We start from the raw sequence: 14,993 nt of genomic DNA, 5'->3' as shown, positions 1-14,993 counted from the left end.
TATTTTTAGTAGAGACGGTTTTACATGTTGGCCAGGATGGTCTCTTATTTCTTGACCTCATGACTCACCTGCCTCGGCCTCCCAGAGTGCTGGGATTACAGGTGTGAGCCACCGCGCCCGCCCGGCCCAGAAAGACATTTAAAAAGAACAGTGGTAGGCAGAGCTGCATGAGAACAATTTTCGTGTCAGTTTCTTCTAGCACCTGTGCTACGTAAATAGAGGGGAATATGGTTATAGTGGCTGCGCTTCAGTTCTGTATTTAACTCAAGGCCTCTGTTAACTCAGAGCTCTCTTTCCTGCCAGAGTGTGGTACATTTATTTAAAACAAGTTTTTGTGTGTCTTATACGTGTTTAAAATACATACAGAACTCTGATTAGGGAGTGTTGTGAACATCTGGTTTCTGAGAATGAATTTAGGTTTCAATAGCAAAAGTCATTGTGGCCGCTCCTTTAGGAAAGTCATTTTTCTCCTATGAGTAGTCATCCCCGGTAGACTTGACTGAAATCCTGTGTTTTAGGAGGATTTGGGGGGTGCCCCTGTCCTCCCTTCCTCTCATTACATTGGGTCAAATTAGTTTTGGGTTTTTTTTTTTCCCACAAGCAGCAAACAACCCTCGGTAAGTTGTTAATTTAAGTGTCCCTGCATGTCTCTTATCACGTACTCCCTTCCCTTTTGTGTAAATAATTTACTTTCTACTCGTGATTAAATACCCTTGTCTGTGAGTGCATACACCCTAGGTTGGGTAGGTGACCAGAGGACCTTCAGCGGTGGGTCCCGGAACTGGGTTTTAGGGACCTGGGAGGGGCGGGAAGAGGGCGGGGCAGGCTGTGGGCGTCACTGAGTGGCCCCGCCCCTCCTTCCGCGACTCGGGCGCCGGTGGCGCCATCTTACTCGGTTGCGGGAGGGGTCACAGGTCAGTGCCGGAGCCTCCGCGAGTGAAGGAAGACGAAGTGCGTGACCCGACCGGCTGTGGTGTTCCAGTCCCCACTGACCAGTAGGAGCAGCAGGGCGTCGGCTTGTGAGGTAGAGGGGTGGGGAGTCTGGCGGCGGAGCAGCAGCTGGGGGTGGGGAGGGGGTTCGGAGGAGAATGGGGAGGGGGCGGAACCTCTGGGTACCGCAGACGTGAGAGAACCCCTGCGGCCTAAGGGGCCGCATCCCTTTCTTCCCAAAACTTTCTCCTTGTCCCTACTGTGCCGAGACGTAAATTTATTTGTATCTTTTTATTTTTCTCTTTGGAAAAAGTAAAACCTGTGATGTGTCATGTGACTGAACTGTCTAGGAGGGAGGGTGAAGATGGGGGGGTTTCTTAGGGCCACCCGAAAGGGTGCAGTGGTGAGCAAGAGGGACAGGCCAGAGTAAGAGGGACAGGCCAGAATATGTATGGAAAGGTAAGGCACTGGCTTGAGGGCTGTCGCCGTGGTGTCTCCATCCTGGATTAAGCATTTCCTCCTCCTTTTCTAGGTGGCTTTTCCTCGGGGCAACCGAGGAAGGCCCCAAGAGGACAATGGATTCTGGAACTCGCCCAGTTGGTAGCTGCTGTAGCAGCCCCGCTGGGCTCTCACGGGAGTACAAACTAGTGATGCTGGGTGCTGGTGGTGTAGGGAAGAGTGGTAGGTAACATTTTCCATTTGACAGGAAGCATGGATGAAAAGTACTTAAATGACCAGATGGGATACTTGCTATCTTGCAATGTTAATACTTAAAATTCTCTCTGTGGGTCACCTTTGTGAGGATTTGACTTTTATTTCTTCTTTTGAAGCCATGACCATGCAGTTCATCAGCCACCGATTCCCAGAAGATCATGATCCCACCATTGGTAAGCCAGATCATCACTTATGTTTCCAAATATACCCCATAAAAATATCTTAATGAATATCAGTAGTTTCTAACTATTTATATTTTGAGGCTTTTTTGGAGTCTAATTCAGATTTATTTAGAAACAAGGGTATCAGCAGTTGGTAAGCAACTGAATATTTCTTTTTTTTTCAGACTTTATGTCATAAGCCATCTTTAGTCTTTGTCTCTTACTGAACATTAATGGGACAACTCTCTTTGTTGTATTTTTTTATGGTTGTATACAGGCCACTTAACGAAGCCTTTTCTTGCTGTCACTTCTCTAAGGGTATGACTTGAGACTCGCTCTGTAACTGTGAGTCAGCTGGTTTGAACTTCCACAAAAGGAAGCAGAGAAACAAGTAGAGCCAGGCTGCTGAACTCTTACAACCCAGACATGCCAAGCCTGGACATCTTGCACTTGGAGCTCTTGGTTTACTTCCTTATACCTTAAGTTCATTACGTAGTAATGTCTTCTCCCATGTCTGTCTGTTGTTTTTTTTTTTTTTTTGAGATGGAGTCTCGCACTGTCTCCCAGGCTGGAGGGCAATGGTGCGATCTCCGGTCACTGTAACCTCCGCCTCCCGGGTTCAAGCAATTCTCCTGCCTCAGCCTCCTGAGTAGCTGGGATTACAGGCATCTGCCACCACACCCGGCTAATTTTTGTATTTTTAGTAGAGATGGGATTTCACTATGTTGGCCAGGCTGGTCTCAAACTCCTGACCTCAAGTAATCCATCCACCTCAGCCTCGAAAAGTACTGGGATTACAGGCGTGAGCCACTGTGCCTAGCCCTCCGATGTCTTTTATGGTCCTTAACTCTTGTTGCAGAACGCTAATAGAGTAAAAAAGTCATTTTGTTTGCTTTGACTTTTTTATTTTTTAATTGCTAATCTCTACAAAGACTAAGAACATTACTGTCATTCCTAAACCATAAGGAAGCAGGTTTGATTCTAAGGGTTTATATCCTAATATGAAAGAAAAATGGATGTGGGAATGGGAGAGGGCACAGAAAGTCAGCTGTACTGTTATTTTCTTTTTTTGTTTTTTTTTTTGGAGACGGTGTCTCACCCTGTTGCCCGGGCTGGAGTGCGGTGGCACAATCTCGGCTCACTACAAGCTCCACCTCCCAGGTTCATGCCATTCTCCTGCCTCAGCCTCCCGAGTATCTGGGACTACAGGCGCCCGCCACCAAGCCCGGCTAATTTTTTTTTGTATTTTTAGTAGAGATGGGATTTCACCGTGTTAGCCAGGATGGTCTCAATCTCCTGACCTCGTGATCTGCCCACCTCGGACTCCCAAAGTGCTGGGATTACAGGCGTGACCACTGCGCCGGGCCTTATTATTTTCAGTATGTGACACTCTTTGCCATGATCCTAGTTCTCTAGGAAGGATTTCCATTGGGTCAGGCCTCTGCTGCTCTGTTTCCCGCAAAGCCAATAATGTTTTGTGGTGGCCCAGCTTTGATATGGTCATTTCATAGAGCACATGATTCCAGGGATGGGAAAAATAGAAAAAGTCTTGACTTTTTCATGTACTATATCAAATTTAGAACACTGTTCAGAGATTCAGGCCAGGCGCGGTGGCTCATGCCTGTAATCCCAGCACTTTGAGAGGTCGAGGCGGGTGGAGCACCTGAGGTCAGGAGTTCGAGACCAGCCTGGCCAACATGGTGAAACCCCATCTCTACTAAAAATACCAAAACTAGCCGGGCGTGGTGCTGGGTGCCTGTAATCCCAGCTACTGCGGGGGCTGAGGCAGGAGAATTGCTTGAACCTGGGAGGCGGAGGTTGCAGTGAGCCGAGATAGTGCCATCACACTCCAGCCTGGGGGATAAGAGCAAGCTTTTGTCTCAAAAAAAAAAAAAAAAATTGTTCAGAGATTCAAATTATGGCGGGAGTTCTAGGAATAAAATGAATTTAGGGCTTACGCATATGTACTTGAGAACTCCAAAAGCATCTTTTCCTTTCTTTTTTTTTGAGACAGAGTCTGACTCTGTCATCCAGGCTGGAGTGCAGTGGCGCCGTCTTGGCTCACTGCAAGCTCCGCCTCCCGGGTTCACGCCATTCTCCTGCCTCAGCCTCCTGAGTAGCTGGGACTACAGGGGCCCATCACCACGCCCGGCTAATTTTTTGTACCTTTAGTAGAGACAGGGTTTCACTGTGTTAGCCAGGATGGTCTCGATCTCCTGACCTCGTGATCTGTCTGCCTTGGCCTCCCAAAGTGCTGGGATTACAGGCGTGAGCCACCGTGCCCGGCCGCGTCTTTCCCTTTCTTTAAAGTAAAACTCAAATACTCGTCTCCTGTAAGAGTTATCTGTATTTTTTTTTTTGTTTTTTTTTTTTAGATGGAGTCTCACTGTCGCCCAGGCTAGAGTGCAGTGGCATGATCTCGGCTCACTGCAGGCTCCGCCCCCCCGGGGTTCATGCCATTCTCCTGCCTCAGGCTCCAGCGTAGCTGGGACTACAGGCACCCGCCACCTCGCCTGGCTAATTTTTTGTATTTTTAGTAGAGACGGGGTTTCACCGTGTTAGCCAGGATGGTCTCGATCTCCTGACCTTGTGATCCGTCCGCCTCGGCCTCCCAAAGTGCTGGGATTACAGGCGTGAGCCACCGCATCCGGCCAAGTTATCTGTTTTAATCAATTTTCCTCCAGTTAACTACTCTCCTGGCAATATTATCTGATTCAACAGCAAATACTTATGTCTTCTGAGTTTCTATTATGTGCCAAGCACTGCTTACCCTCAGGGTACAGTGGTGATCAAAAAGATGAGGTTTCTGTTCTTGAGTTTCTAATTTAGTGCATTTGATTTCAAGCTCTGGCTGTAAACTCAGAAAAACTTTACATTGTAACTGGTAGAGATATAAAAGCATACAAGGCCGGGTGCGGAGGCTTACGCCTGTAATCCTGAGCCTGCAATCCTGTAATCGAAGCACTTTAGGAGGCCAAGGCACCTGAGGTCAGGAGTTCAAGACCAGCCTGGCCAACATGGTAAAACCCCATCTCTACTGAAAATACAAAAATTAGCTGGGCGTGTTACTGCTGCATGCCTGTAATCCCAGCTACTCAGGAAGCTGAGGTGGGAGAATTCCTTGAACCCAGAAGGCAGAGGTTGCAGTGAGCCGAGATTGCACCACTGCACTCCGCCCTGAGCGACAGAGTGAGACTTTGCCTCAAAAAAAAAAAAAAAAAGCATATGAATGTGTGCATATGTATATATAAATTATATACACAAGCGCATGTGTATGTGTAGCTAAAATATTATGAAACTTTACCTCACTACATCTGGTGCACTCTGATATTTTCTTTTCTTTTCTTTTTTTTTGAGACAGGGTCTCACTCTGTTGCCCATGCTGGAGTGCAGTGTTGTGATCTTGGCTCACTGCAGCCTGGACCTCCTGGGTTCAGGTGATCCTCCCGCCTCACCCTACCAAATACCTGGGACTGCAGGCGTAGGCCACTAAGCCCAGCTAATATTTTTGGATTTTTAGTAGAGATGAGGTCTCGCTCTATTGCCCAGGCTGGTCTCAAACTCCTGAGCGCAAGTGATCCTCCCACCTGGACCTCCCAAAGCACTGAGATTACAGGCGTGAGAGCCACTGTACCTCACCCACTCTGGTATTTTCTTTCTTTTTTTTTCTTTTTTTCTTTTTTTTTTTTTTTTTTTTTTGAGACGGAGAATTTCACTCCTGTTGCCCAGGCTAGAGTCCAGTGGCACAATCTTGGCTCACTGCAACCTCCACCTCCCAGTTCAAGCGATTCTCCTGCCTCAGCCTCCCAAGTAGCTGGGATTACAGGCGCCTGTGACCACATCCAGATAATTTTTGTATTTTTAGTAGAGATGGGGTTTCACCACATTAGCCAGGCTGGTCTTGAACTCCTGACCTCAGGTGATCCACCCGCCTCAGCCTCCCAAAGTGCTGGGATTACAGGCATGAACCACTGTGCCTGGCCTGGTATTTTCTATTTTTATTTAGGTTTCTGCTTGTTTATTTTAATGCTGGTCCCGGCCCATTAAGTAGATTTCACAACTCACTAATCCTAATGAATAATTGAGAAGCATTGATTTAATGAGCTCTTCATCTTTGAGGAAGAGACAGAAGCAGGAATTCAAGAAAAAATGTTAAAAGGAAATACATTGAGATGTAAGCAGCAGTTGTTAAGTGAATGAAATATTGCGTGGCTTTTTTTTTCTTTTTAGTTTTCTATATTTTCCAAGGTTACTATAGTAATATGCATAAAGAAATTTGCTTTCAGAAAAGAGAAATTACGAAACTGTGGATTATTTAGAAAATAGTCAGTTAGACCGGGTGCAGTGGCTCACGCCTGTAATCCCAACACTTTGGGAGGCTGAGGCAGGTGGATCATTTGAGGTCAGGCGTTCAAGACCAGCCTGGCCAACATGGTGAAACCCTGTCTATACTAAAAATACAAAAATTAGCCGGGCAATAGTGGCATGTGCCTGTAATCCCAGCTACTCAGGAGGCTGAGGCAGGAGAATCCCTTGAGCCTGGGAGGCAGAAGTTGTGGTGAGCCGAGATCATGCCACTGCACTCCAGTCTGGGTGATAGAGTGAGAGCCTGTCTCAAAAAAAAAAAAAATAGTGAATTATATATTTTTTTCCTTTTTTGTAGTATTGAGGAGGAAGTATAACACATGGTTAATAATGCTTTTCAGTTCAGCAATCTTGGATTTTAATCCTCATTCTGTCACTAATTAACTAATTTAGAGAAGACATTAATATTTTCAAGTTGAATTTTCTTTAGCTGTAAAATGGAGGTAATAATGCCTACTTCATTGGATTATTGTGATTATTGAAGAATTAATATATATAAGTTACTTAGTATAATGTCTGGTAGATAATAACAATTTAATAAATGGTAAAGTTACTTTTCAGGCCTAATTTTTTTTTTCCCCTAAGAGATGGGGTCTCGGCTGAGTGCAGTGGCCCACACCTGTAATACCAGCACTTTGGGAGGCCAAGGCAGGAGGATTGTTTCAACCCAGGAGTTCGAGACTAGCCTGGACAACATTGCAAAATCCTATGTCTACCAAAAATACAAAAAAATTAGCCAGACATGGTGGTAGCACGCCTGTAGTTCCAGCTACTTGGGAGGCCAAGGTGGGAGAATCACTGGAGCCTGGGAAGTCAAGGCTACAGTGAACCGAAATTGCACCACTGCACTCCAGCCTGGGTGACAGTGAGACCCTGTCTCAAGAAAAAAAAAAAAAGATGAGCTGTTGCTGTGTTGCCCAGGCTGGTCTTGAACTCCTGGGCTCAAACAATACTCCTGTCTCAGTCTCCCAAGTAGCTGGGATTATAGGCAGTCACCACTGTGCCCAGATAGCCTAATTTTTTTAAGAAAGACATCTTCTCAGAATCCTTTTTTAGCTTAGAATTGTAGGTGAAATCTTCAGCTGTGAATAAACTACATCATCACCTATGTGGAAAAAAAAACTTCAGTTGAAGACTCAGTTTATGTATCTCAGTGGATTTAGCATGCTTCCTGAGAAAATGTGGGCATTTAATGAATTTGGATACAATGTACTACTCTGTAAGATGAGTTTTAAATAGGCATTTCTTCCGGCATTTATGACTTTATAGTACACCTTTCTTCCCTCCTGTAGAAGATGCTTATAAGATCAGGATCCGTATTGATGATGAGCCTGCCAATCTGGACATTTTGGATACAGCTGGACAGGTATTAAATCCCAGAATGTTATGAGTAAAGGCTTTTTTACTCTAGCAAAGGGGAGGGGAAGGCCTACACAGAGAAGATCAATAGTTTATCTCTCTTAATTTTTCATGCACTCTGACTCAGGATAGCAGGTAATCGACATGCGTTTTCTTTAATCTGAAAGAAATAGCTAATTGTGTGTGTAGTTGGGCTAGATTGCGTCAATACATAATGACCCTTGTTTCCCTCTAGGCAGAGTTTACAGCCATGCGGGACCAGTATATGAGGGCAGGAGAAGGGTTTATCATCTGTTACTCTATCACGGATCGTCGAAGTTTCCATGAAGTTCGTGAGTTTAAACAGCTTATTTATCGAGTCCGACGTACTGACGATACACCTGTGGTTCTTGTGGGAAACAAGTCAGACCTCAAACAGCTAAGACAGGTGAGGATAGAGAAGAAAATACTGTCTATAATCTTATACAATTAGTCATTTTTGTTTCTTGGCTTACAGATTCTTGGCTTGGCTTACAGATTTTTTTGCCTTAAAATAGAAAATCAGGCTGGGTGAGGTGGCTCACACCAGTACTTTGCGGGGCCAAGGTGGGCAGGTTGCTTAAGGTCAGGAGTTTGAGACCAGCCTGAGCAACATGGCGAAACCCCATCTCTACAAAAAATACAAAAAAACATAGCTGGGCATAGTGGTGCATGCACATGTGGTCCCAGCTAGTTGGGAGGCTGAGGTGGGAGGATCCCTTGACCTGGGGAGGTGGAGGTTGCAGTGAGGTTGGGGCTACAGCTTACTGCAGCCTCTACCTCCCCAGCTCAAGCAATCATCCCAGTTCAGCTTTGAGGGTAGCTGGGACCACAGGCGTGTGCCACCACTCCCAGCTAATTGTTTTTACTTTTTGTGGAGACAGGATCTCACTATGTTGCCCAGGCTGATCTTGAACACCTGGACTCAAGTGATCCTCCTGCCTTGGCCTCCCAAAGTGTTGGGATTACAAGTGTGAGCCACAGCGCCTGGCTGGAAGTAGTTTGATAGTAGTCAAATTCATAATGCTTCTCTGTTAATCTCCATTGGAAAAAATTTATAGGGATTTATATATAACATGTTCATTGCAAGACTATTTATGGTAGAAGAAAATGAGAAACAATCTAGCTGTCCAAAAGTAGAAATTATGGCATATCCATAATTAGATGTATCAATTATGGGCTCCTAATAGTTTTCAATATTTTAGTGTAAGCATATATCTCTTTCCCTCCCTTTGTGTTTCTTTCTTTTTTTTTTTTTTTTTTTTTTGAGACAGAGTCTCACTCTGTTGCCTTGGCTGGAGTGCAGTGGCACAATCTCGGCTCACTGCAACCTCCTCCTCCTGGGTTCAAGTGAGTCTCCTGCCTTAGCCTCCTGAGTAGCTGGGATTACAGGCGCATGCCACCACGCCCGGCTAATTTTTTTTTGAGACGGAGTCTTGTCTGTCGCCCAGGCTGGCGTGCAGTGGCACGATCTCTGCTCACTGCAAGCTCTGCCTCCCAGGTTCATGCCATTCTTCTGCCTCAGCCTCCCGAGTAGCTGGGACTACAGGTGTCCGCCACCATGCCTGGCTAATTTTTTGTATTTTTAGTGAGATGGGGTTTCACCGTGTTAGCCAGGATGGTCTCGATCTCCTGACCTCGTGATCAGCCTGCCTCGGCCTCCCAAAGTGCTGGGATTACAGGCATGAGCCACCGCGCCCGGCCTAATTTTTGTATTTTTAAGTAGAGACGGGGTTTCACCATGTTGGTCAGGCTGGTCTCAAACTCCTGACCTCATGATCTTCCCACCTCGGCCTCCCAAAGTGCTGGGATTACAGGCGTGAGCCACCGCGCCCAGCTTTCTTTTTTTTTAATTTTTATTTTAATTTTGTTGTTTTGAGACAGAGTCTCACTCTGTTGCCCAGGCTGGAGTGCAGTGGCGCAATCTAGGCTCACTGCAACCTCTCTGACTCCTGAGTTCAAGCGATTCTCCTGCCTCAGCCTCCTGAGTAGCTAGGATTACATGTGCCTGCCACCACATCCAGCTAATTTTTGTATTTTAGTAGAGACGGGGTTTCACCATGTTGGCCGGGCTGGTCTTGAAGTCCTGACATCAGGTGATCCACCTACCTTGGCCTCCCAAAGTGCTGGGATTATAGATGTGAGCCACCACACCCAGCGTTTTTTTGTTTTGTGTTGTTTTTTAGACAGAGTTTCACTCTTATCACCCAGGCTGGAGTGCAGTGGCATGATGTTGGCTCACTGCAACCTCTGCCTCCTGGGTTCAAGCAATTCTCCTGCCTCAGCCTCCCAAGTAGCTGGGATTACAGGCGCCTGCCACCATGCCCAGCTAATTTTTCTTTTCTTTTTTTTTTTTTTGATATAAAAGCATTTTTAAACTTTATTATTAATACTCAGGACATTAGGAATTTCCAGATTTTTTTCAGTAGCATTTGTAGAACCACTTTTGGTAACAAATACAGTAGTTAGGAATATGCATCCAGTTCAGAATGCATAATAATGTTTCTCCTGAATCCTTTCCGGCTAAAAACAGGGCTGGCACTGTGATGAGATATAGAACGAGAATCTACAAAAAACACTGTAACATGTTTGTTTTTTCCCAGAGGCTACATCCTCTTTTGCTGGAATACTTTATAAATACATATTAAAAAGTAAGGCAACAACTCCAAACAGTCCAAGCTGTTTGCTCAACTCTTTTCCCAATTAGATTTGCAATCCCGGTGATCAGTTTCATGGTTGTATTGTTTAGTGTTTCTTTCTTATTTTAGTAGAGATGGGGTTTCACCGTGTTGGCCATGCTGGTCTTGAACTCCTGACCTCAGGTGATCTGCCTGCCTGCTTCAGCCTCCCAAAGTGCTGGGATTACAGGCATGAGCCACCGCACCCAACTTTTTTTTTTCTTGAGACAGGGTCTTGCTCTGTCACTGAGGCTGGAGTGCAGTGGCGCAAACATGGCTTACCGCAGCCTTGACCTCCTGGGCTCAAGTGATCCTCTTACCTTAGCCTCCTGAGTAGCTGGGACCACAGGTGTATACCACCACATCCAACTAATTTTTTTTTCTTTTTTTGAGACAGAGTCTGGCTCTGTCACCCAGGCTGGAGTGTGACACCTGGAGTGCAGTGCCGCGATCTTGGCTCACTGTAACCTCCGCCTCCCAGGTTTAAGCGATTCTCCTGCCTCAGCCTCACGAGTAACTGGGATTACAGGTGCCCAACACCATGCCCAGCTAGTTTTTTTTAAGTGGAGACAGGGTTTTGCCATGTTGACCAGGTTGGTCTCGAACCCCAGACCTCAAGTGATCCACCTGCCTCAGCCTCCCAAAGTGTTGGGATTACAGGCGTGAGCCACCGCTCCTGGCCCCAGCTAAATTTTTAAAAATTTTGTAAAAGTAGGGTCTCACCATATTGCCCAGCTTGGTCTCAAGTTCCTGGGCTCAAGCAATCCTCCTACCTTAGCCTCCCAAAGTTCTGGAATTACAGGTGTGAGCCACCAAGCCCAGCCTATTTATCTTTCTTAAAATAAAAAGTATGGGGAAAATTAAGATTGTGTATTTGATATCTAAAACTATTCCCTGTTCCAAAAAGTATCTTAAAAATAGACTAGAGACCGGGCACAGTGGCCGACGCCTGTAATCCCAGTACTTTGGGAGGCCGAGGTGGGCAGATCACCTGAGGTCAGGAGTTTACAACCAGCCTGACCAACATGGAGAAACCCCGTCTCTACTAAAAATACAAAATTAGCCAGGTGTGGTGGCGCATGCCTGTAATCTCAGCTACTCAGGAGGCTGAGGCAGGAGAATCACTTGAACCCGGGAGGCCGAGGTTGTGAGCCACAATCATGCCATTGCACTCCAATCTGGGCAACAAGAACGCAACTCTGTCTCAAAAAAAAAAGTAGACTAGAAATAGAATCATATCATTTGAAGGCAGAATAAGAAACCTTAGAAGTAATCTAGCCTAAAATTACAAAAATTAGTGCTGTATGCTTGAACACCTCCAGAATTGAGAAGCTTTCTTTGTGTTAAGGTGGTGGTGCATTCAGGTTTTTGGACAATTTAATTGTTTTTCACTGTTATCTTTTCTCACATTTTGCCCTTAAAGGTCACCAAGGAAGAAGGATTGGCCTTGGCCCGAGAATTCAGCTGTCCCTTTTTTGAGACATCTGCTGCATACCGCTACTATATTGATGATGTTTTCCATGCCCTTGTACGGGAGATACGTAGGAAAGAAAAGGAGGCAGTACTGGCCATGGAGAAAAAATCTAAGCCCAAAAACAGTGTATGGAAGAGGCTAAAATCACCATTCCGGAAGAAGAAAGATTCAGTAACTTGAAGAGAAGATGTGAAGTGTTTATCTGTGAACTGCAGTGCTGTATCAAAGCAGTCCAGTAACCTGCAGTACTGAGTATGGTGCTTGCTCTTTCACTTAACTGATAAGAGGGACATGCCTACTAGGAGTTTTTAATGATGTGGTATTTAAAGTATTGTCTCTTAGTTAAGTATGATTTATTAACCCAGTGGAGCACTGTCTGCTTTTAAATTGTCACATTAGAATTTGTTCTACCAATGTTTTGGGTTCTGTTGCGCTATTAATTAATGTAAATTTGTTTATACCCAGGAGAATATGTATACCATGTGTGTTTGACTAAGTTCACAAGGGAAGTTTTTGGCTCTGCACTCCACATTATCCTTTAATTTCAATTTCCTGGGACTATCCCAGAGAAAGACCTCAGTCTCTTCTATTCACACTATGCTTCCTAGAGACAGAACAAAAATCATGTAGGGAAATTGGGGCTAATGAGATCAGTGCCAAATTTCAGCAGATACCTGTGAGGCTGACACCTGTTGCAGACTATGGAGTGGTGAGATTTGGGAAAGTTGGGCTATATGTTTGCAGGGACTTAAAAAGGTAGGTTCAGAACAGTATTCTCAGTACAAGCTTCGCTTTTCTAAGAAGTACACATTTGGCCCAAATTCACCGGGATAAGTGAGAACAGCCAGAAGCATAAAATGTGATGAAGGTTTCTCCTGGGAACCTTATTTTACTCTTCATTTCAGGGTTTTCTTTTTTTTTTTACCTTCAAAGGTAGACATTTTGGGAATCATAACTGTATTACTAAACGTGTTTAATCAAAATTCATAGTTGGATCAGCCATTGCCTTGTACAGGTTTATTTTTTCCCCACAGACGCACACACCAACACATTTATATTCATTGCTTCCTCCCACTTTGTGCTCTGTAAAAGAGCTACAGCTGGCAAGATGTTTTTTCGGCCCTTCATCACTGATTGCATTTTCCATACAGAAGAGACATCAGGGGTGTGGGTAAAATTGTGTGTGTGCCTCCTTGACGTGGACAATCACTAGACTCAGTGCTCTGAGAAAATCTGCTATTTCTGTTGAATGGGTCAGTCTTAAAGCTTTAAAATTCACATAGGTGGAGTTTCCCATCTGAAGATTTCTTTACAAGGACTTTGCTAAGTTCATCTCAGGGTTATCTGAGCCTTGACCAAGTTTATCCTAAGGGAATACCACTTTGCTCCCTGTGCATAGTTTAGGAACTGTAGTCCTAGGAGGAAACAGCTTTAAATATTGGTAGTGAGTTGTCTAAGATCAGGACTGTTTTGATATCTGACCTTGTTATATGCGGAGAGTAAATGCAAAAATGCTAAGAGTAATGCATCATGTATTGAATATTAAGTGTCACTGAAGCAATGTTTGTGTTGACTAGAAACGTAAGATGACTTGTGTAGCACCTCTTTATAAGCACACAGCTCATCTTAATATTTTCCATTTTTATTAGAGGAAGTAGGACAGAGTTGTGTTTTTCTTTATAAACAAATGATAAACTAGCTTTTTTAAAAAGTGACTGTTAGAACTTTTTTAGCTCTGAGTAGTGGTCCCTTTTTAAACTCCTGGAAACATTTTTGTTACCAAATAAATCATGTTTTATGGTACTCAGCCATCCAAAAGTGAAAGACCTAGCATTTGATTCTGTGCAGGACACAAATCTCACAGGAACTATAGCACTTTGGAAAAGCATCAAAGTAGAAAAGAAATACAGTGCAATTCTATTATGAGAATGTTTTACATTTAAACTGGTTTAGCACCTTTTAAGTTTAAAGCCCATAGCTTCTTATTACTAGTGACCTAGGGAATTGTTATTAACATTAAGAGATATATATATATATATATATATATATTTTTTTTTTTTTTTTTTTTTTTTTTTAAATAGAGATGAGGTTTCACTATGTTGCCCAGGCTGATCTCGAACTCCTAGGCTCAAGCAATCCTCCCAATATGCTGGGATTACAGGCATGAGCCACCACCTGGCCCAAGCAAGAAATTGACACTATATAGTTATTTAAGGTAGTCAGGCAGTAGAAACATTGCCAGAAGGATAGAAAGGAATTTGGATTATATATAAGGAAAATAACAAATCGGTGTTTTTAAGACTATCACTGTCATATATTAGATCCTTGTATTAGTCCATCCATTAATATTAGTTCTATTCGTGGTGCTAGGTAGCTTGACAGGTATGATATGCATAAGTCATAGCTCTATTCTTAGTGTCATAAAGTGTAGCTAATTTATAAGCTCTAAGTAATCAGCTTTATCTAATTTGAGGGCATTAAAATTACTGCCTAGAACTTTGAGAAGAGAAAAATTCAGGGATAAGTTGAAAGGCACTGGAACTGTTCATGTCCATACCAGACCGGTAAATTATAAGATCCAGATGTTAGTGTCTAGAATTAGCTGTTTAGAATTCAGAGGGGACATATGTTTTAACTTTGTCATATATTAGCAAGAATTGGTCTACTGTGATGTTTGGGGAGGAGGAGGGGGGGATAATTTTTTTAATGCACTTGTATGTGAAGACAGTTTGTATGACATAATACAAAACTTTTAAACAACTTGGGCTTTCCTTTGCTTCCCTATCAGTGGGTAGAGTTTTTGGAATCATTGCAAAAGAGTTGTTTTCAGAAAAACATAACCATGAGATGTGATATTCTGGAAAATATGAATTCAAAAAATTTGAGTGCCCACCATGAACAAGACACCCATGTCAAGTGCTAGGGAGCATGCCATGGAATCCCCCTTCATTTGAAGAGATTACCTCTTGGGAGGAGACAGGAAAAACACATATGGAAAATGACAGCACATTTGCTACCTGATCAAGGGTTACTTAAAGTTGTTATAAGTAAATACACTAAATGAAAAGTGAAAGAATGATTTTTTTTTTTTTTTTTTTTTTGAGACAGAATCTCGCTCTGTCGCCCAGGCTGGAGTACAGTGGCGCGATTTCGGCTCACGGCAAGCTCCGCCTCCTGGGTTCACGCCATTCTCCTGCCTCAACCTCCCAAGTAGCTGGGACTACAGGCGCCCGCCACCACACCTGGCTAATTTTTTGTATTTTTTAGTAGAGATGGGGTTTCACCATGTTAGCC

The 14,993-nt window shown here is 43.9% G+C and overlaps 1 protein-coding gene across 3 annotated transcripts; it reads left to right on the top strand.

Moving 5' to 3' along the window:
* RIT1 (Ras like without CAAX 1) lies at nt 918–14,459 on the top strand. 3 transcript variants are annotated; one of them, NM_006912.6, is made up of 6 exons: nt 918–1,024; nt 1,463–1,611; nt 1,761–1,817; nt 7,463–7,536; nt 7,765–7,956; nt 11,649–14,459. In NM_006912.6, exons 2-6 carry the CDS (start codon nt 1,506–1,508, stop codon nt 11,877–11,879), a joined length of 660 nt encoding a protein of 219 aa, NP_008843.1. In that variant the 5' UTR covers nt 918–1,024; nt 1,463–1,505; the 3' UTR covers nt 11,880–14,459. The 3 variants fall into 3 exon arrangements, with proteins under 3 accessions (NP_008843.1, NP_001243749.1, NP_001243750.1); NM_001256821.2 differs by lacking the exon at nt 918–1,024 and adding an exon at nt 1,349–1,389; NM_001256820.2 differs by lacking the exon at nt 1,463–1,611.

Source organism: Homo sapiens, chromosome 1, assembly GCF_000001405.40.
Source record: "Homo sapiens chromosome 1, GRCh38.p14 Primary Assembly".
NCBI lineage: Eukaryota > Metazoa > Chordata > Mammalia > Primates > Hominidae > Homo > Homo sapiens.
Note: the sequence above shows the minus strand (reverse complement) of the source record. Positions and strands in the feature narration are given on the sequence as shown.